Here is a 22,213-nt window from a genome sequence, read left to right as displayed (position 1 = left end):
GTGCTGTGCCGAGTGCTTTTCATGGATTATCTGATTTAAACTTCATAACCACCCAGAGGCGGTGGGACTGTGATTGGCCCCCCTCTTACAGGTAAGGAAGCCAACTCAGAGGGGTGAAGTCTCTGACCCAAGGTCACACAGCTGCTGGATGGCAGAAGTGGGATTTGAATCTAGGTCTCTGCCTTAGAAGCCTGATTCGCAAAAACCCCTCACCCTTCTTCTTACCACCCCGTACCCTCATATATGAGGTTAATAACTCACTATGGTTCATCTCTCTGGTCCTTTAAGAAATACTTCTGGGTGAGGCTTTACTGGAGGCTCAGAGAGGGCAAGGGACTGGCCTGGGGCTGCAGAGCTAAATGGTGGCAGAGCTGGTCCTAGGACCCAGGCCCTCTGGCTCTCTGGCCAGGCCTCATGCCCACCCATAAGAGATCATTCAGGACCCTGGATGTCATTTCCATCTCTGCTCTGCTCTCTCGAGGTGGGGCTCTGATCTCCCATCCCTGTCCCCGCCTCACTCCTTTGTAGAAAGGTTCCAGGCCCCATGGGAGCTTCTGGGCTTTTCTTCCTAAGGCCACTGAACTGTGGGATTGAAGCCTCATTCTTTTCTCTTCCATCGATAGGTAATTTGCCTGGAACATGTTGAGCACTTTAAAAATTTGGTCACATTGCAGTGTCTGGGTTACCATGGTGACCTCACTTTGAATTTGCTTCCCAGGGGAGGCTGGTAATAATTAATACAGCACTTAGTGCTGGCTGCCCGCAGAGTGTGGGGGAGGATTCTGGAGTCCCCTGGGATCCGCTTCCCTAGGGGGAGCACTGCTTCCTCCTCTGAGCAGGATCCTGGGGTTCTCCAAGGAGAAAGTGGGTGGGGGGAGAGGACCTGCCCACCCTGCCCACCCCTTCGGCAGGCCCAGCAGCCATGCTGTCAGAGCTGGTCTATATCGGGATGGGGAATTCAGGGCTCAAGGGAGAGTGTGTGACTTGACCAAGGCCACACAAGATCCAGACAGCATCACCATTGGGTGGAAAGCTGATTTCCTAAGCTTTAGGACAGAGCTCCAGTGATTGCCAAGTTTGAGGAAGCCCAGCTCCAAAACTTCTCCCCTTCCAGAATGCCTGGAACACAGTGCAAATGCCCCAAGCTGGGGGTGGAGTGGGGAGGTCAGGGTGGGTGGGAGGCAGTCATGGCCCATTCAATGCGAAGTGGGTTCTCAGATGACCCAGGGTGTTGGGGACCAGGCTCAGAGGAACTTTGGCGGAGGGAACTGGAGAGGTTGGGATGGGGAGAGGAGCCTGAGAGGGAGGTCCTACAGGACAGGCCTTAGACATTTCCGGCAAAGGGTGGAAGAGCAGTGAAGGGGCATTCTGCTTCTCATGATCTTCTCCATTCCTCTCCTCCCCAGCATTTCTTGGTCTCCACCCACGCCAGTTCTTGTAGAAAGAAGAGTAGAAGGACGTGTAACAGAAAGAAGAAGAAATCTCTGTTAGGGCTGAGTGCAGTGGCTCATGCCTATAATCCCAGCATTTTGGGAGGCTGAGGCAGGAGCATCTCTTGAGCCCAGGAGTTGGAGAGCTGCCTGGGCAACATAGTGAGACCCCATCTCTAAAACAAAAAACAAATTAGCCAGGCATGGTGGTATGTGCCTGTAGTCTCAGCTACTTGGGAGGCTGAGGCAGGAGGATTGCTTGAGCAGAGGAGAAAGAGGCTGGGTGACAGAGTGAAAATGTCTCAAAAAAAAAAAAAAAAAAATCCAGGCTGGGGATGGTAGCTCACGCTGTAATCCCAGCACTTTGGGAGGCCGAGGCAGGTGGAACACCTGAGGTCAGGAGTTCGAGACCAGCCTGGCCAACGTGGTGAAACCCTGTCGCTACTAAAAACACAAAAATTAGCCAGGTGTGGTGGCACATGACTATAGTTCCAGCTACTCGGGGGGCTGAGGCAGGAGAATCGCTTGAACCTGGGTGGTGGAGGTTGCAGTGAGCCAAGATTGTACTCTAGCCTGGGTGACAAGAGTGAAATTCCATCTCAAAAAAAGAAAAGAAAAAGAAATCCAGACTGCATCCCACTTTTTCCAGATGGGGAAAGTGAAGCTCAGAGAGGCCTTAGAGATGTAGAGAGACCACAGCCAATAAGTGGTCAGCTGGAGATTCAAACCCACATCAGTGCATGTAGCATCTGCACTCTTAACCTTTACCCTCGGGCAGGGTTCTCTCCCTGATCCACATTCCCCTTGGGGCCTGAGCCGAGGGCTTGGGGAGTTTAGCTCTGATGTAGAGTTGGAGGGCAGGATGGGCCTGAGGCAGGAGATGGGGAGGAAAACTAGGCTGGCTTCTCTGCTGGAAACTGGAGCAGGTGTGGCTGAATCAAAAATGCTGGAAGCTTGGGAGCTCCAACCATGGAAGTGGGTTTTAGTAGAGGGTTGGGGAGAAGGGGAAAGGGGAAAATGGCTTTGGTATCTTTGCTCACGTCCAAAAACAACTGAGTTTGTGGTGTACCCTTGGTCTCAAAGGAAAACAAACCTGTGACTTTAGTATGCTGCCACCAGGTGGCGGTGTAATGTGGCTACTCATATCACAGATTCACCTCTATTAAAATAAATTGCACTCATTTTTCAAAAGGATAAAAGTCTTTAAAGAATTAGATTTATATATTATTTCACTTGATTCTTAAAAACTAAGGTAACATTTTAGGGGAAAATGCCTGAGATATAGTTTGGTTCATTCTTCCCTGATCCTTAACTTTCATCTACCTACCCTAAGCCTGGGCTTTCTGGTGATCTGTCTGTATGGTCCTAGTCAACAGCCAGTGAAGCCCACCCCAAAAGTTTTCATGCCAACTCGAGAAGCCAGAAAGAGCAAGGGACACAGTCAGCTCTCATCCTTCCCCTCAATTAGCCCAATTCTGGAGATAGCTGCCCACCACCCCTAGGCTGCCTAACTTCTACATAGACTTTACATATATTGTGGCTCTCCTCCCACTGGGTTTTAATTCCGTTTTTTTTTTTTTTTTTGAGACGGAGTCTTGCTCTGTTGCCCAGGCTGGAGTGCAGTGGGTTATCTCGGCTCTCGGCTCATTGCAACCTCCACCTCCGTGTTCAAGTGATTCTCGTGCCTCAGCCTCCCAAGTAGCTAAGACTACTGGCGCACACCACCATGCCCGGCTAATTTTTGTATTTTTAGTAGAGACGGGGTTTCACCATCTTGGCCAGGCTGGTCTCGAACTCCTGATCTCAAGAGATCTGCCTGCCTCAGCCTCCCAAAGTGCTGGGAATACAGGCATGAGCCACTGTGCCAGGCCTGGGTTTTAACATGACTGTCCGCCACACCAGAAGGTTAGTCCCTCCAAGCAGAGACCATGACTCATTCATCTGCTACTGTTCTAGGTCTTAACCACAATGGCCGGCACATGGGCGATGATCAGCAGTTGGTTGAATGAATAAATGAATTGCTATTTCACAGCTGAGGAAACTAAAGTTCCTGGAGAGAAATAATACCAATAATAATAATAATAATAATAATTGGCATTTGCTATGTACCTACTATGTCCCAGACATATATTAACTCTAGTTTCCACAACAATTCTAGGATACCATTATTATGCACATTATGCAGATGAGGGGACTGAGGCTGAGAGACATTTGAGATGGGGGAGGGAGCAACTGAAGGGGACCCAAGTCCAGTTCAGTAGCTCATTTGGGAGAGGAAGTTGAGGGCAGGCATCACTCATCCTGCTGTTCATTTATTCAGGACAAGTTTACTGCAGTTAGATGTCCCTGCTAGGCCTGTGGTGGGTGAGCACACAGAAGGGATGAGTGCTCATCACTCTGGCTGAGGCAGGAGGCAGCCTGAGTCCAAACCTCAGTGCCTTGGGCCAGGCCTGGTAGCTCACGCCTAGCAGTGCTTTGGGAGGCCGAGGCAAGGGGATCACTTGAGCTCAGGAGTTATGAGACCAGCCTGGATAACATAGCGAAACTCTGGCTCTCCAAAAATAAAAAAGTTAAAAATTAGCCAGTCGTGGTGGTCCATGCCTGTAGTCCTAACTACTCAGGAAGCTGAGATGAGTGGATGGCTTGAGCCCTGGAGTTGAAGACTACAGTGAGCTATGATCATGCCACCACCCTCCAGCCTGAAAGGTGACAGAGCGAGACTCTGACCCTAAAAAAATAAAAAACGGGCCAGGCGCGGTGGCTCACGACTGTAATCCCAGCACTTTGGGAGGCCGAGGCAGGTGGATCACGAGGTCAGGAGTTCAAGACCAGCCTGGCCAAGATGGTGAAACCCCGTCTCTACTAAAAATACAAAAATTAGCTGGGTGTGCTGGCAGGTGCCTGTAATCCCAGCTACTCGGGAGGCTAAGGCAGGAGAATTGCTTGAACCCAGGCAGCAGAGGTTGCAGTGAGCCGAGATCGCGCCACTGCACTCCAGCCTGGGAGACAGACTGAGACTCTGTCTTAAAAAAATAAAAATAAACAAAATAAAAATAAAAAAACACTGTAATCCCAGCACTTTGGGAGGCTGAGGCAGGTGAATCGTGTGAGGTCAGGAGTTTGAGACCAGCCTGGCTGACATGGTGAAACCACGTCTCTACTAAAAATACAAAAATTAGCCAGGCGTGGTGGTGGGAGCCTGTAATCCCAGCTACTCAGGAGGCTGAGGCAGGAGAATCACTTGAACCCTGGAGGCGGAGGTTGCAGTGAGCCGAGATGGCGCCATTGCATTCCAGCCTGGGCGACAGAGGAAGACTCCGTCTCAATAAATACATATAAATACATAAATTAAAAACAAAAAACCTCAGCACCTCGTGTACAACCTGAGAGGCTGCGCCCCCAGCAGCTTTCAGCAGCTCTCTCTGCAAGGTCTCAAAAACTGCTGCCACCATCTTAAACTTAATATCCTCGCGCCACGTGGTCCAGGTATGTTTGTTTGTTGGGAGAACAGGGAAACCGCTCTGGCAGAAGGCCAGGGAACGTCTCTTTGCATCCCATTGGTAGCGCCTCATTAGGTCAAGCGCTACTCCTGAACCAATCAGGGGCCTGAAGCATGGCCTCGTGGGTTGGCTCCGCCCCCACACGCGGGGAGTGTTGATTGCAGCCTCAGGCAGGTTGGTGAAATGAGAGGTGATGGGATGGAAAAGAGGAGGCGGCCACATTGTGTACTCGCTCCCTTTGCACAAAGCTGCGACCTTCCCCACCTTCCTCAAGGGAGCTGCTGGGTGGAGACAAGCCAAGAGCTCCGAGTGCAGGAGGCCCCCTTCCACCCAGCACCCTGTAGCTGTGAGAGCTTGGCCCAGGCCCAGCCTCCTCACCTGCACGGAGCTAAGGTGAGGGTCCCACTGAGGCAGGGCACGAGAAGGCACCTCGCGCACAGTAGCCCCCTTTCCAACCCGCGTGATATTCTGATTGGCCTACATCTCTCTCCCACTGCCAATCCGTGCACACAGCCCCTCTCCCTAGGCCTCTCCCAGCTGCGACGTGGCAAGAGGAGTCCCAGAGATGTGGGAGACTGGCCGACTGACGGCAGCCAAAGGCTGACCTGCTGCGCACTTCCCTGGATCGGTGGCAGGGGGCGTGTCTCTGAGTGGGTGGGGACAGGCCTCCCCCAGGTGTCAGCAGCATCTCCTGTTTTTCGTGTCCAGCACCTGCTTACCATTGCGGTAAGAGTGTCCCAGTTTTTTCTTGGGTATAGGGTGCCCAAGTCCAGTCCCAGCCATAGTCTGTGTCATGTTCCACAGTGACTGGTTCAGGGGTGGCCAGAGCCAGGCAGAGTCAGTCTGAGTGGCTCTTAGGACTTTTGCTTGTTTACCATTGGAGGGAACCTGGCTGTAGAACTAGAGGCTGCCAGTACCTTCTTGCCACCAGGTAGAGAGTGACAATGAAGCCAACACTCAAAGGAGACATAGCTGAGGCAAGACCGGGGAGAAAACAGGTCTGATGGTGACACCTGAGCCCCTTTGTCCACCCTTCCTGAAGCCAGCTGTACCCTCTGGAGTTTTCAGTGATATGAGCCAATTAACTTCCTTTGCTTAAATCCCATTTGATTTGGTTTTCTGTTGCTTGCAACCAAAAGATCCTAACCCTAACCCTAACCCTTGGTGATACCATCTCAGCTTGGGGTACAGAAGAGAAGGTGGAGGTGGCAGGGAAAGATTGGGATTCAGGGTCTCCTCCAGAGAGCTTCCAGGCCACGGGGACAGAGCTGGACAGAGACCCCTTCCTTACAGCCAGGCTGAGTGTCAGCCACATAAGGCCCTGGTACAAGCCTTGGAGGGTGAGGCCTCCCAGAGTGGGTGTTGGGTGTTGGGTGTTGGTCATGGCAGCTGCAAGTGGTCACTCAGGTTCAGATGCCTTCCTGGACAGCTGGGGAAGACAGGTGTCAGCAGCTGTGGAGACAGCACTCTAACGGAATGGGGCAGCTGCGTGGCCAACATCAGGAGCAAAAACTGGGGTGCAGTGGGGGGAAGAGGCTATTCAAGGGTAGCATTAGGGACTCCCCAGAGTGACCTCTTTGTCATAGCTCCTTCAGCCCCTACCTCAGAGCCTCAGTGTTTCCTGCCCACAAGATAATACAGCACATTGGGAGGGGGTGACATCCAGGGGGTCCTGACTTCCTAGACACCCTCACCCAGTCTTGGGGACTTGTAGGACAATCTTGTGATTGAAGCACCCAGGCCCTGGAGCACACCAGCCTGAGTTTAAATCCCAGCTTCTCCACTTCCTGCCTATGTGACCCTGGGAAATGTTCCCTGCCTCTCTGAGCCTCAGTTTCCTCATCTGTGAGGTCAAGGTAACTCTCCCAACCCCCCAGGATTGCTGTAAGAGTAATGAGAAGGGCACGTGGGGTCTGGCATGAGGGAGGAGCTTTGAAAGCTTTTCTCTTATTGGTGTCTTCAGGACTGGGCAGGCTCTGAGGAGGAAGAGAGGCAGGAGTGCAGACTACGGATGGAAAGAGGATCCGGAGGCTGCCAGTCAGATTCTAGTGCTCTTTCCCTCATTCAGCAAACATTTATTGAGCACCTACTATGTGCCAGGCATGATTCCAAGTGCCAGGGATACAGCAGTGAAAAGAGATAAAAACCCCTGCCCTCATGAAGCTGACATTTCTGTCAGGGGAGACAAACCACAAAGTAAGAAAGTAAAAATAGCAGGGAGTGGTGGCTCACGCCTGTAATCCCAGCACTTTGGGAGGCCGAAGCAGGTGGATCACCTGAGGTCAGGAGTTCCAGATCAGCCTGGCACACATGGCGAAACCCCATCTCTAATAAAAAAAAAAAAAAAGAAGAAGAAGAAAAAAATTAGCCAGGCGTGGTGGTGCGCACCTGTAATCCCAGCTACTCAGGAGGCTGAGGCAGGAGAATTGCTTGAACCCAGGAGGCAGAGGCTGCAGTGGGCCAAGATCGTGCCACTGCACTCCAGCCTGAGGAAAAAAAAAAAAGAAGAAAGTAAAAATTAAAAATACGATAGATGGTGATAACAAATAATATAAATTAAATAGAATAAAAATATGATAGTGCCAAATACTGAGAAGACTAAAGCAGAGAAGAGGGATAGAGACTGTCTGATTAGCTGAGATGGTAACATTCGAGTGCCGATCATAAGGGGTGAATGAATGAGTGAGGCATTCTAAAAAGAGGGAACAGAACTGTCACAGCTAAAGGGAACCTAAGGAAACATGACAACTAAATGGAATGTGGCATCCTGGATGGGATCCTGGAGCAGAAGGCTATTAGATACAAACTAAGGAAATCTGAATTAAGTATGGACTCTAGTTCCCAACAATATATCAATATTGGTTCATGAATTGTACCAAATGTACCTTTAATGTAAGATGTCAGGAATAGGAGAAACCAGGTGTGGGGTTTATAAGAACTCTTTGTACTATCTTCTCAAATTTTCCGTAAATCTACAATTATTCTAAAATAAAATGTTTATCCAAAGTGGGGAGGCAGCAAGTGCAAAGTCCCTGGGGCAGAAGCGTGCCTGACGGAATCAGCAAGAGGCACGAGGGAGAGTGGGAGGAAGGAGGTTGGAGAGGCAGGTGGAGAATGGACTGCGTTCAGGCTGCTGGGACATTCTCAGGACCCTGTCCTTTGGGTGTGGAACCACTGGAGGCCTTTAAGCACAGGAGTGACACGATCTGACTTGTATTCCAACAGCTTCCTCTGGTGGCTTTGTTGAAGCTGTGTGGGGCCAGGACTGAAGCGGGACAGTGAGGAGGCTCCTGCGGAAGTCCAGGCAAGAGGATGGTGCACAAGACCAGGACGGAAGCCATGGAGGAGGTGAGAACCGGGCAAGTTCTGGAAACATTTTGTAGGTGGAGCTGACCATGTGCTGACAGGTCAGATGTGGGGTGTGAGAGAAAGAGAAGAGTAAAAGACAACCCAAGGACAGTCTGAGCAACTGGAAGGATGGAGTTGACATGAAATGAGACGAGGAGGATGAGGGGAAATGAGGAATGGGTTTAAACATACTGCACCTGGCCTGGTGCGGTGGCTCACACCTGTAATCCCAGCACTTTGGGAGGCTGAGGCGGACGGATCACAAGGTCAGGAGATTGAGACCATCCTGGCTAACACGGTGAAACCCCGTCTCTACTAAAAAATACAAAGAATTAGCTGGGCGTGGTGGTGGGCACCTGTAGTCCCAGCTACTCAGGAGGCTGAGGCAGGAGAATGGTGTGAACCCGGGAGGCGGAGCTTGCAGTGAGCTGAGATCGCGCCACTGCACTCCAGCCTGGGCAACAGAGCAAGACTCCGTCTCAAAAACAAACAAACAAACAAAAAACATACTGCACCTGAGACGCCCATGAGCTGTGAGTGGAAACGTCAGGAGGTGAGAGATCAAAGCTGGAGATTATGAATGTGGAGTCATCAGGAAAGAAACAGTGTACGCCATGCCACCTGGGATGAGGGGTGAAGTCAGCTGGGGGAGGGGTGAATGCAGACAGACACGTGCACAAAACACCATTTTATACACATAGAGATTTGCATGCATTTGCTCATTTCATCCTTTCAAGAAGCTCCCCAGCCCACTCCTTGTCTGTTCCTCCTAAAAGACTCAGGCAGGATGAATGAAGTGGTAGGTGAAGTACTAACCAGCCCAGTGCCTGGCAGGTACCAATTCACTGAGTTCTTACAGTAAAGCCTGTGACCTTTGGGATGTCATCATCTCCACTTGGCAGATGAGGAAAGGGAGGCATTTGGCCCAAGCTCTGTCCACCTGACAAAGCATCCTGGGGGGTTCACATCACACCTGCTCTGCTCTCACAAGGAACTCAGTTTACTGAAGTCAGGGCCAGTCAGTCTGCACAGCAGCCTTAACCACAGGATTTGCAGCAAGGCCTGCCGCTATGCCTGAAGCGCCCCGCTGGGCCAATTCCTTTGGCTCTTGAGGACATTTCTGGCTTCTAGTGGGCTGCTAGAATGATGCACTCTCAGGAGAGGAAACATATTAAGTTGTCGCTTCCCACCTGGGGGCCCAGATGCCTGGGAAGGTGGTAGTGTATACTCCTAGGGCTATTTTTGGTATTTCAAAAAGCATGATAAGGCTGCACAGGTGACTTGAAAGATTGACTCTCTTTGCAGCTCCACTGGCCATGTTGGTCAATCAGAAGTTCTATGAGCAATTACGCCCTGGACTAATACAATATTTGTAATGAATTAATGCATACAGTTAGTTTATTTGTTGGCAAAATCCTTAAGAAATTGAGCTTCTGGAAGATGAAGATAATAAAAAGGGCCTTCGTGGCAGAAAGGCTAAAACTCTTTGCTTTGAGCTTTGGCCACTGGAACTGTTGATGTGGTGAACATTTGTGGAGTTCTTGGCCCCTCCAGCCCAGTGGTACTTTGGTTTCTTTTTTGTAAAAGCTACCAGTTTCTGGCCAGGTGTGGTGGCTCACGCCTGTAATCCCAGCACTTTGGGAGGCCGAGGCGGGTGGATCACCTGAGGCCAGGAGTTCAAGACCAGCCTGGCCAACATGGTGAAACTCCGTCTCTACTAAAAATACAAAAATTAGCTGCGTGTGCTGGCGGGTGCTTGTAGTTCCAGCTACTTGGGAGGCTGAGGCATAAGAATCGCTTGAAACCAGGAGGCGGATATTGCAGCGAGCTGAGATCGCACCACTACACTCCAGCCTGGGTGACAGAGCAAGACTCTGTTTCAAAAAAAGTTAAATTAAATGTTTTAAAAAGCTACCAGTTTCTGTGTGCAGCCTTGGAGGGGCCACAGCTCTGTCTCCTGCCATGAAGCCAAGGGGGCCTGTCTTGGTCTGTTCAGGCTGCTACAACAGATACCATAAACTGAGTGGCTTTTAAACAACTAAAATGTATTTCTCACAGTTCTGGGGGCTGGGAAGTCCAAGATCAAGGCATTGGTAGATCTGGGGTCTGGTGAGGGTGCCTCCTCACTGTTCACATGGTGGAAGGGGCAAGGCAGCTATCCTGGGCCTCTTTCTTTTTTTTTTATTTTATTTTATTTTATTTTATTTTTATTATACTTTAAGTTTTAGGGTACATGTGCACATTGTGCAGGTTAGTTACATATGTATACATGTGCCATGCTGGTGCGCTGCACCCACTAACTCGTCATCTAGCATTAGGTATATCTCCCAATGCTATCCCTCCCCCCTCCCCCCACCCCACCACAGTCCCCAGAGTGTGATATTCCCCCTCCTGTGTCCATGTGATCTCATTGTTCAATTCCCACCTATGAGTGAGAATGTGCGGTGTTTGGTTTTTTGTTCTTGTGATAGTTTACTGAGAATGATGATTTCCAATTTCATCCATGTCCCTACAAAGGCCATGAACTCATCATTTTTTATGGCTGCATAGTATTCCATTGTGTATATGTGCCACATTTTCTTAATCCAGTCTATCATTGTTGGACATTTGGGTTGGTTCCAAGTCTTTGCTATTGTGAATAATGCCGCAATAAACATATGTGTGCATGTGTCTTTATAGCAGCATGATTTATAGTCCTTTGGGTATATACCCAGTAATGGGATGGCTGGGTCAAATGGTATTTCTAGTTCTAGATCCCTGAAGAATCGCCACACTGACTTCCATAATGGTTGAACTAGTTTACAGTCCCACCAACAGTGTAAAAGTGTTCCTATTTCTCCACATCCTCTCCAGCACCTGTTGTTTCCTGACTTTTTAATGATTGCCATTCTAACTGGTGTGAGATGGTATCTCATTGTGGTTTTGATTTGCATTTCTCTGATGGCCAGTGATGATGAGCATTTTTTCATTTGTTTTTTGGCTGCATAAATGTCTTCTTTTGAGAAGTGTCTGTTCATGTCCTTCGCCCACTTTTTGATGGGGTTGTTTGTTTTTTTCTTGTAAATTTGTTTGAGTTCATTGTAGATTCTGGATATTAGCCCTTTGTCAGATGAGTAGGTTGCGAAAATTTTCTCCCATTTTGTAGGTTGCCTGTTCACTCTGATGGTAGTTTCTTTTGCTGTGCAGAAGCTCTTTAGTTTAATTAGATCCCATTTGTCAATTTTGTCTTTTGTTGCCATTGCTTTTGGTGTTTTGGACATGAAGTCCTTGCCCATGCCTATGTCCTGAATGGTAATGCCTAGGTTTTCTTCTAGGGTTTTTATGGTTTTACGTCTAACGTTTAAGTCTTTAATCCATCTTGAATTGATTTTTGTATAAGGTGTAAGGAAGGGATCCAGTTTCAGCTTTCTACATACGGCTAGCCAGTTTTCCCAGCACCATTTATTAAATAGGGAATCCTTTCCCCATTGCTTGTTTTTCTCAGGTTTGTCAAAGATCAGATAGTTGTAGATATGCGGCGTCATTTCTGAGGGCTCTGTTCTGTTCCATTGATCTATATCTCTGTTTTGGTACCAGTACCATGCTGTTTTGGTTACTGTAGCCTTGTAGTATAGTTTGAAGTCAGGTAGTATGATGCCTCCAGCTTTGTTCTTTTGGCTTAGGATTGACTTGGCGATGCGGGCTCTTTTTTGGTTCCATATGAACTTTAAAGTAGTTTTTTCCAATTCTGTGAAGAAAGTCATTGGTAGCTTTATGGGGATGGCATTGAATCTGTAAATTACCTTGGGCAGTATGGCCATTTTCACGATATTGATTCTTCCTACCCATGAGCATGGAATGTTCTTCCATTTGTTTGTATCCTCTTTTATTTCCTTGAGCAGTGGTTTGTAGTTCTCCTTGAAGAGGTCCTTCACATCCCTTGTAAGTTGGATTCCTAGGTATTTTATTCTCTTTGAAGCAATTGTGAATGGGAGTTCACTCATGATTTGGCTCTCTGTTTGTCTGTTGTTGGTGTATAAGAATGCTTGTGACTTTTGTACATTGATTTTGTATCCTGAGACTTTGCTGAAGTTGCTTATCAGCTTAAGGAGATTTTGGGCTGAGACAGTGGGGTTTTCCAGATATACAATCATGTCGTCTGCAAACAGGGACAATTTGACTTCCTCTTTTCCTAATTGAATACCCTTTATTTCCTTCTCCTGCCTAATTGCCCTGGCCAGAACTTCCAACACTATGTTGAATAGGAGTGGTGAGAGAGGGCATCCCTGTCTTGTGCTGGTTTTCAAAGGGAATGCTTCCAGTTTTTGCCCATTCAGTATGATATTGGCTGTGGGTTTGTCATAGATAGCTCTTATTATTTTGAAATACGTCCCATCAATACCTAATTTATTGAGAGTTTTTAGGATGAAGGGTTGTTGAATTTTGTCAAAGGCTTTTTCTGCATCTATTGAGATAATCATGTGGTTTTTGTCTTTGGCTCTGTTTATATGCTGGATTACATTTATTGATTTGCGTATATTGAACCAGCCTTGCATCCCAGGGATGAAGCCCACTTGATCATGGTGGATAAGCTTTTTGATGTGCTGCTGGATTCGGTTTGCCAGAATTTTATTGAGGATTTTTGCATCAATGTTCATCAAGGATATTGGTCTAAAATTCTCTTTTTTGGTTGTGTCTCTGCCCGGCTTTGGTATCAGAATGATGCTGGCCTCATAAAATGAGTTAGGGAGGATTCCCTCTTTTTCTATTGATTGGAATAGTTTCAGAAGGAATGGTACCAGTTCCTCCTTGTACCTCTGGTAGAATTCGGCTGTGAATCCATCTGGTCCTGGACTCTTTTTGGTTGGTAAACTATTGATTATTGCCACAATTTCAGCTCCTGTTATTGGTCTATTCAGAGATTCAACTTCTTCCTGGTTTAGTCTTGGGAGACTGTATGTGTCGAGGAATTTATCCATTTCTTCTAGATTTTCTAGTTTATTTGCGTAGAGGCGTTTGTAGTATTCTCTGATGGTAGTTTGTATTTCTGTGGGATCAGTGGTGATATCCCCTTTATCATTTTTTATTGTGTCTATTTGATTCTTCTCCCTTTTTTTCTTTATTAGTCTTGCTAGTGGTCTATCAATTTTGTTGATCCTTTCAAAAAACCAGCTCCTGGATTCATTAATTTTTTGAAGGGTTTTTTGTGTCTCTATTTCCTTCAGTTCTGCTCTGATTTTAGTTATTTCTTGCCTTCTGCTAGCTTTTGAATGTGTTTGCTCTTGCTTTTCTAGTTCTTTTAATTGTGATGTTAGGGTGTCAATTTTGGATCTTTCCTGCTTTCTCTTGTGGGCATTTAGTGCTATAAATTTCCCTCTACACACTGCTTTGAGTGTGTCCCAGAGATTCTGGTATGTTGTGTCTTTGTTCTCGTTGGTTTCAAAGAACATCTTTATTTCTGCCTTCATTTCATTATGTATCCAGTAGTCATTCAGGAGCAGGTTGTTCAGTTTCCATGTAGTTGAGCAGTTTTGAGTGAGATTCTTAATCCTGAGTTCTAGTTTGATTGCACTGTGGTCTGAGAGATAGTTTGTTATAATCTCTGTTCTTTTACATTTGCTGAGGAGAGCTTTACTTCCAAGTATGTGGTCAATTTTGGAATAGGTGTGGTGTGGTGCTGAAAAAAATGTATATTCTGTTGATTTGGGGTGGAGAGTTCTGTAGATGTCTATTAGGTCCGCTTGGTGCAGAGCTGAGTTCAATTCCTGGGTATCCTTGTTGACTTTCTGTCTCGTTGATCTGTCTAATGTTGACAGTGGGGTGTTAAAGTCTCCCATTATTAATGTGTGGGAGTCTAAGTCTCTTTGTAGGTCACTCAGGACTTGCTTTATGAATCTGGGTGCTCCTGTATTGGGTGCATATATATTTAGGATAGTTAGCTCTTCTTGTTGAATTGATCCCTTTACCATTATGTAATGGTCACTCAGGACTTGCTTTATGAATCTGGGTGCTCCTGTATTGGGTGCATATATATTTAGGATAGTTAGCTCTTCTTGTTGAATTGATCCCTTTACCATTATGTAATGGCCTTCTTTGTCTCTTTTGATCTTTGTTGGTTTAAAGTCTGTTTTATCAGAGACTAGGATTGCAACCCCTGCCTTTTTTTGTTTTCCATTTGCTTGGTAGATCTTCCTCCATCCCTTTATTTTGAGCCTATGTGTGTCTCTGCACGTGAGATGGGTTTCCTGAATACAGCACACTGATGGGTCTTGACTCTTTATCCAATTTGCCAGTCTGTGTCTTTTAATTGGAGCATTTAGTCCATTTACATTTAAAGTTAATATTGTTATGTGTGAATTTGATCCTGTCATTATGATGTTAGCTGGTGATTTTGCTCATTAGTTGATGCAGTTTCTTCCTAGTCTCGATGGTCTTTATATTTTGGCATGATTTTGCAACGGCTGGTACTGGTTGTTCCTTTCCATGTTTAGCGCTTCCTTCAGGAGCTCTTTTAGGGCAGGCCTGGTGGTGACAAAATCTCACAGCATTTGCTTGTCTGTAAAGTATTTTATTTCTCCTTCACTTATGAAGCCTAGTTTGGCTGGATATGAAATTCTGGGTTGAAAATTCTTTTCTTTAAGAATGTTGAATATTGGCCCCCACTCTCTTCTGGCTTGTAGTGTTTCTGCCGAGAGATCCGCTGTTAGTCTGATGGGCTTCCCTTTGAGGGTAACCCGACCTTTCTCTCTGGCTGCCCTTAACATTTTTTCCTTCATTTCAATTTGGTGAATCTGACAATTATGTGTCTTGGAGTTGCTCTTCTCGAGGAGTATCTCTGTGGCGTTCTCTGTATTTCCTGAATCTGAACGTTGGCCTGCCTTGCTAGATTGGGGAAGTTCTCCTGGATAATATCCTGCAGAGTGTTTTCCAACTTGGTTCCATTCTCCCCATCACTTTCAGGTACACCAATCAGACGTAGATTTGGTCTTTTCACATAGTCCCATATTTCTTGGAGGCTTTGCTCATTTCTTTTTATTCTTTTTTCTCTAAACTTCCCTTCTCGCTTCATTTCATTTATTTCATCTTCCGTTGCTGATACCCTTTCTTCCAGTTGATTGCATCGGCTCCTGAGGCTTGTGCATTCTTCACGTAGTTCTCGAGCCTTGGTTTTCAGCTCCATCAGCTCCTTTAAGCACTTCTCTGTATTGGTTATTCTAGTTATACATTCATCTAAATTTTTTTCAAAGTTTTCAACTTCTTTGCCTTTGGTTTGAATGTCCTCCCGTAGCTCAGAGTAATTTGATCGTCTGAAGCCTTCTTCTCTCAGCTCGTCAAAGTCATTCTCCATCCAGCTTTGTTCCGTTGCTGGTGAGGAACTGCGTTCCTTTGGAGGAGGAGAGGCGCTCTGCGTTTTAGAGTTTCCAGTTTTTCTGTTCTCTTTTTCCCCATCTTTGTGGTTTTATCTACTTTTGGTCTTTGATGATGGTGATGTACAGATGGGTTTTTGGTGTGGATGTCCTTTCTGTTTGTTAGTTTTCCTTCTAACAGACAGGACCCTTAGCTGCAGGTCTGTTGGAATACCCTGCCGTGTGAGGTGTCAGTGTGCCCCTGCTGGGGGTTGCCTCCCAGTTAGGCTGCTCGGGGATCAGGGGTCAGGGACCCACTTGAAGAGGCAGTCTGCCCGTTCTCAGATCTCCCGCTGCGTGCTGGGAGAACCACTGCTCTCTTCAAAGCTGTCAGACAGGGACATGTAAGTCTGCAGAGGTTACTGCTGTCTTTTTGTTTGTGCCCTGCCCCCAGAGGTGGAGCCTACAGAGGCAGGCAGGCCTCCTTGAGCTGTGGTGAGCTCCACCCAGTTCGAGCTTCCCGGCTGCTTTGTTTACCTAAGTGAGCCTGGGCAATGGTGGGCGCCCCTCCCCCAGCCTCGCTGCCGCCTTGCAGTTTGATCTCAGACTGCTGTGCTAGCAATCAGCGAGACTCCGTGGGCGTAGGACCCTCCGAGCCAGGTGCGGGATATAATCTCGTGGTGCGCAGTTTTTTAAGCCGGTCCGAAAAGCGCAATATTCAGGTGGGAGTGACCCGATTTTCCAGGTGTGTCCGTCAGCCCTTTCTTTGACTCAGAAAGGGAACTCCCTGACCCCTTGCGCTTCCCAAGTGAGGCAATGCCTCGCCCTGCTTCGGCTTGCGCACGGTGCACGCACCCACTGACCCGCGCCCACTGCCTGGCACTCCCTAGTGAGATGAACCCGGTACCTCAGATGGAAATGCAGAAATCACCCGTCTTCTGCGTCGCTCACGCTGGGAGCTGTAGACCGGAGCTGTTCCTATTCGGCCATCTTTCCTTTTTCCTCCTGGGCCTCTTTCATAGAGCCACCCTCATGACCTAATCACCCCCCAAAAGGCCTTGCAGGTGAGGATTTCAACATAAGGATTTTAAGGGTACACAAACATTCAGACCGCAAAAGGGCCCTGAATCTCCTTCCCTCAGCTAGTGTTCTCCAGCCCAAGATTCAGCCAAGGGGAGGACATATGACTCAAGTTTGGACTCTTTGTCTATATCAGTTTTTGCTCTGGTAACAAACAGCCCCCGAATCTCAGTGACTTAAGACCAGTAACACATATTTTTTGCTCCCACGTCTGAGGGCGGGCTTTGACATGGCTCACCTCTCACCCAGCTGTGGCCCCTCTCTGGGAGATGCTGTTCTCCCGCAGAGAGGAGCAAGAGGCTGATGTAAAGCACTCAGGTGCATTTCAGGCTGCCCACACCTGGCACACGTGATGCCCACTCACATTCCATTGACCAATGCAAGTTATATGGCCAACTTGGACGCTGAGTAGAGTGGGATGGATCAACCTCGCTGCAGGGATGGAGTGGATAATTGGGAGCAGTAGCACACATCTACCACCATCCCCCGACTTTGACTTGAGAAGCTGGGACATGGACTCACTCAGCCACGGGCCCTGCTGAGCAGCTCCTGCCTCCAAACTGCCCATGCTGGCTGGCTCCTGTCTTTCCCATATGGCCTCTTCAGCCCTCTCGACAGCCCCATATGTGCATGCCCCGTCTCTTTTCATTCAGTTCCTCTTTGGGCTTATACTGGCCGCAGTCAGCTTCTGTGGCTTGCAATAATAATAATTTAAAAAACCCTCATAAGCTGACACATAGTAACCACAAATTGGGGTGATGCTAGCAGAATTCCTTTTTGGAAACGAGAGGGCTAACAATTTATATTTGCAGACAGTGCGATAAATGTGGTTGACAAGGGGAATCCAGGACAAGGGCCTGGAAGGAAGCCCAGGGGCCAGAAGAAGAGACACGAGGGTCTCCACAGGGGAGGTGGGAAGACAGCAGAGACCAACTTTGCTCATATCTCCACTTGGCCAGCTAAAAACATTTGAAGTCCTAGCCCCAGCCCCAGCCCCCAGACACCTGCATGCATCCTCTGAGGTCCCAGGCCCCAGCAGGATGGAGGCTTCCTCTTACTCCCCTCTAGTTCCCAGTTTCTCAACCCTGACTGCATATTAGAAACCTCTGGGGAATTCAAACAAACAAAGCCCGGGTTCCTCCCCAGCCCAGTTAAATCAGGCGCTCTCAGGGTGGGCCCTGGCCATGGGCATTTTTAAGAGCTCCCCAGGTGACTCTAATGAGCAGCCAGGGTTGAGACCCACTGCCCCACTTCTCCTGAACTCTGCAGTGCGTGGAGAGGCCAAGGGACTGGGAGCAAAGCCAGAAACAGGAAAACGTAGGCACTTTACAGCCTTAGGTTCCTATTTAGCAGCTTCCAGACATATTTTGTTTGATCTGCAGATAATACATTTGAGCTAACATTTAAAAATTGGGAGATTTCACATTATCCAGATTCCTTTTGTTTTTGGTTGAAAAATCTCAAGTTCTGGCATCTCAGGGCTTCTGCAACACATGACTTACACAGATGACAGGCCGAGTCCTCACAGGTAACCATCTATTCCTCGGTCCTAAATCCCTTTCTTGAGCACTCGGCCAACTGTGATCCCACTAGACCCCTACGCCTAGGCAGATACCTCAGCAGGACCAACTGAGGGGCCAAGTGCCAGCTGGGGGCTTTCTCCTCACCCCACGCTGCTCACTCCAAGTTCCTCTTTGGGTTGGTTTTTATTATTTTGGAGTTGTTGTTTTGGCTTTTAGTCACATTTAAAATGTGTTTTAAAAATCATTTTTTTGTTATATGAATTTTAGATAATTTGGAATATACAGTAAAGTATAAAGAAGAAAATGAAAATCACCTATCATCTTAACTGCCTTTTGGGTTCTGAATACACAAAGATTCTACGATGTTCTGAAAGGAAGTCCCCACTTCAGTGTGATGGAAGCCCTGGAAGCCTCCAGTGGGAACCATTTGTTCCATTGCTTTTTTCCTTTTTTTTTTTTTTTTTTTTTTTTGAGACAGAGTCTCACTTTGTCACCCAGTCTGGAATGCAGTGGTGTGGTCTCAGCTCACTGCAGCCTTGACCTCCCAGGTTCAAATGATCCTCCCACCTCAGTCCCCCAGATAGGTGCGACTATAGGCACACTACCACACCCAGCTAATTTTTGTATTTTTAGTAGAGATGGGTTTCCCCATGTTGCCCAGGCTGGTCTTGAACTCCTGAGCTCAAGCGATTGGTCCACCTCAGCCTCCCAGAGTGCTGGGATTACAGGCGTGAGCCACCCTACCCAGCCTGTTCCATTTCTTAAAAGTCAGGACATTCAACACTTTCAAAAGGCTGATCCATCTGACCTTTAATATTTGTCAGAGACAGACTCTGAGAACCCACCTTATTTTTTAGATCTGCATTTCTTCCTAATACATAATAACAAAAATTACAACTAGAAAGAAATCTTTTGGAAAGAACCTCTGCTGGGTGGCAGGCGGGGAGCTGGCAGCTGGAGGTGAAACAAGACCTCTGGCTCAGGTTGCATGTGCCCTCTGGTGGCAGCTGGGGGGTGGCTTTGGGCAGGGCTGTGTCAGCCCTCACGCTCAAGCCAGTGGTTCTCAAGGTGGGGCCCAGCCTCACTTGGGAATGTGTTAGAAATGCAGTTTTTCAGGCCCACCCCCAGACCTCATGAATGAGAAACTCTGGGGTGGGACCCAGTAATCTGTGTTTTCGCAGGTGACTTCAGGCTGTTCTGGTGAACAAGTTTGAGAATGATTGTTCTAAGGAAGTATGGGCCTGGTACTGGAGAAATGTGCCAACACGGCCTAGGGCTCCAGGAGCAAAACCCTGTCCTCCGTGCAGAGGAGGACAGGGAAGGGAACGGCGAAGAACAGGATCCAGGATATGCTGGTGCCAGGCCAAACGTGGCTCATGGAGGTCCCTGCCCACACTCACCTGCACCTCCCTCTCAACCCGAAGGCTGCAGAGCTGGGAAGCGGGCAGAATGGACCTCTCTCAGAGCAACCGGTCCAGGCTCCTTCGGACGGGGTTTAAAAGGCCCTGCCACGTGTGTGAAGCTAAATCTGGGATTCTTAGGAGAAAAATCAGGGTATCACAACAGAGTGGTCCCAGAACCCTAGAAAGCCCATCCTGAGGGGAAATAAGACTTGAACCTCAAGCAAAGACAGGAACCAAAAGCAAACGTTGAGATGGAACAAACAGAAACACTTAAAATATGCTCAAGGAGGGAGGAGAGAAAAGAAGTGTGGCCCCCTTGGTCAGATGGAAAGGAATTCTCTGAGACATTCAATCACCCAGATACCTTCCAGGAGGAAATGCTTTATAATTCAATTACTGTCAACAGAAAAAATCCCCACACTGACTCACAACGCAGCAGTACTGGCTCTTGTGGAAGTTGGTCTAAGGCTCCAGAGGGATGAAGCATGGACAGGCCCCCAGCAGGCCCCTGCTGCGAGGCTTCCAAGACAAGTGATTGTTCGCAGCACATCTAGCTGGTAAAGACATCTTTTTGCACCTGGCTAAATCAAGCAGGAGTTTGTAGAGAAAATCTGACAAAAAAGCAAGGTTTCAGACAGGCAGATGGGAGATGTCATAGTAAATATGTTACTTCAAATTTATCCCTCTCCTTCTAGAAACAATTCTGTTTATACTTGTCATTCTAATAATACTATTACAGAGATGCTCTGATTCAGTCAAGACACGGTATTTCAGATTACATGTCTAATCTAAAACCTTAATCACTCAATAAGTATTTACTGAATACCTACTATGTGGCAGTCATTGTTCTAGGTTTTGGGTTACAGCAGTAAATAAACAAAAATCTTTGCCCTCATAGAGCTTACATTCTAATGGTGAGGAAACGTAATAAACAAAATAAGTAAAAAGGAGTAAGGCTTAGAGTTCATCTTCTGCATGGCCTCTCATCATTAAACTCTTTTTTTTTTTTTTTGAGACAGAGTCTTCCTCTTGTTGCCCAGGCTGGAGTGCAGTGGCGTGATCTTGGCTCACTGCAACCTGCCTTCTGGTTTCAAGCGATTCTCCTGCCTCAGCCTCCCGAGTATCTGGGATTACAGGCACCCACCACCATGCCCAGCTAATTTTTATATTTTTAGTGGAGACAGGGTTTCACCATGTTGGCTAGGCTGGTCTCGAACTCCTGACCTCGTGATCTGCCCACCTTGGCCTCTCAAAGTGCTGGGATTACAGGCGTGAGCCACCACGCCCAGCCCAAATTTTTAATTCTAAATTTTCAAAACCTGTGTATCAGCTTTTTTCTGGACTAGAAGAGAGAGGGTGACAATGTTTAGAGTCTTCATGTTAGGAAAGTCAGCTCAGGATGGGGCTTCTAAAATAATATGCAACTGAATTACCCATTCACATCTTGTAAAATGCAGATTCAGATGGGTCTGGGCAAGAGCCCGATGCAAGCTCACATAGGACACCGGTGCTGCTGGGCTGCAGTTGCAGACCATGTTTTTGAGTGTCACGAGTTTAGGAGTCAGGCTGTTAAGGATGCAGCAGCCCCAAGAGCAGGAATTCTTAGCCAGGTCCTGCCCTCCTCATGATTCCTTGCGGCAGGTCTGCGCTTCCACCTGGGGGCGCTGTAGATGGTTTTCAGGGTACCCTTTTGCATCATGTCACCCAGTCTCCATAGCAACTCTGTCAGGTGAGGAAACGGCACCCTAGAGAGGTTAAGGGCAATCACAGAGCCTGTGGAGGCAAAGCTGGGAGTTGACTCCCATCCCTGTCTGGAGGGCTTGGCTGGGCCCTAGGGCTCTGCATGAAGGATGAGGGGGATGCCTTTGGGCAAGTCCTGTGAGGCCTGGGAAGAGGCCAGCTCAGCAGTAAGTGTCTTTGAGAGTCATATATAGCCAGGCATTTATGGGGCTCAGAGGCCCTTTAATCTAAACAGGCCTAGCTACTCTGGCCAGTGGCTTGGGGGTAGGCTTCTGGTTTACCTCTTTAGTTCTCTGCTGTGGTGTGAATTTCAAAAGCAGCAGTGAGGGCAGCTGTCAGAAATGTTCAGCCCTCCCAGGTGGCTCTTCACAGCCCAGATTAACACAGGCAGGGGAGAGGGATGGCAGGAAAAAGGATTATGCCCTTCCTGCAGGCTGGGAGTCATGAGGAGTTGTTCATTCTCATTCCATAGGATCTCTTGGAAAGATTGCCACATAGACAGCTATTTCCTTATGTAAAGTTGGGAGATGTGTCAATAGAGAGAGGTTATTCGGCCAGTCAAAACACACTCAGCCCACTCGTCCTCTAAATATTTAACCATCTAGAATGGCAAACACTGCTTTATAGCATGTAATAAATTATGTACTGAGATGTGGAGCTGCTTTATGATGGTGTGAGACTCCATCTCAAAAAAAAAAAAAAGAAAAAGAAGCAATGAAACTTGAAGATCTGAGTTTTCTCTCTCTCCTAGTCTGTCCCCATTAGTGCATCATGATTATAGCCTTTTGATTTTCATAGTTAATTGCTGCTTTATCATGGGCCTAAAATAACAAAGACAACAACTGGAGATTTCCTTGGTGGAAA

General features: G+C 47.6%; 6 annotated features.

The window, feature by feature from the left end:
* Positions 3,931 to 4,525: an enhancer, noted in NCBI's record as "H3K4me1 hESC enhancer chr1:25845160-25845754 (GRCh37/hg19 assembly coordinates)". NCBI's record gives its function as "activates a minimal SCP1, AML or CMV promoter by ChIP-STARR-seq in naive H9 embryonic stem cells {active_cell/tissue: H9 hESC(naive)}" and the evidence as "EXISTENCE:reporter gene assay evidence [ECO:0000049][PMID:30033119]".
* Positions 4,694 to 5,341: an enhancer, noted in NCBI's record as "H3K27ac-H3K4me1 hESC enhancer chr1:25844344-25844991 (GRCh37/hg19 assembly coordinates)". NCBI's record gives its function as "activates a minimal SCP1, AML or CMV promoter by ChIP-STARR-seq in naive H9 embryonic stem cells {active_cell/tissue: H9 hESC(naive)}" and the evidence as "EXISTENCE:reporter gene assay evidence [ECO:0000049][PMID:30033119]".
* Positions 9,170 to 9,370: a silencer, noted in NCBI's record as "peak128 fragment used in MPRA reporter construct". NCBI's record gives its function as "represses an SCP1 promoter by STARR-seq MPRAs in K562 erythroleukemia cells {active_cell/tissue: K562}" and the evidence as "EXISTENCE:reporter gene assay evidence [ECO:0000049][PMID:32103011]".
* Positions 15,784 to 16,693: an enhancer, noted in NCBI's record as "NANOG-H3K27ac-H3K4me1 hESC enhancer chr1:25832992-25833901 (GRCh37/hg19 assembly coordinates)". NCBI's record gives its function as "activates a minimal SCP1, AML or CMV promoter by ChIP-STARR-seq in naive H9 embryonic stem cells {active_cell/tissue: H9 hESC(naive)}" and the evidence as "EXISTENCE:reporter gene assay evidence [ECO:0000049][PMID:30033119]".
* Positions 18,999 to 19,564: an enhancer, noted in NCBI's record as "H3K27ac-H3K4me1 hESC enhancer chr1:25830121-25830686 (GRCh37/hg19 assembly coordinates)". NCBI's record gives its function as "activates a minimal SCP1, AML or CMV promoter by ChIP-STARR-seq in naive H9 embryonic stem cells {active_cell/tissue: H9 hESC(naive)}" and the evidence as "EXISTENCE:reporter gene assay evidence [ECO:0000049][PMID:30033119]".
* Positions 19,565 to 20,132: an enhancer, noted in NCBI's record as "H3K27ac-H3K4me1 hESC enhancer chr1:25829553-25830120 (GRCh37/hg19 assembly coordinates)". NCBI's record gives its function as "activates a minimal SCP1, AML or CMV promoter by ChIP-STARR-seq in naive H9 embryonic stem cells {active_cell/tissue: H9 hESC(naive)}" and the evidence as "EXISTENCE:reporter gene assay evidence [ECO:0000049][PMID:30033119]".

This window comes from Homo sapiens, chromosome 1, assembly GCF_000001405.40.
Source record: "Homo sapiens chromosome 1, GRCh38.p14 Primary Assembly".
In the NCBI taxonomy this organism is placed as follows: Eukaryota; Metazoa; Chordata; class Mammalia; order Primates; family Hominidae; genus Homo; species Homo sapiens.
This window is presented reverse-complemented; position numbering and strand designations above follow the sequence as displayed.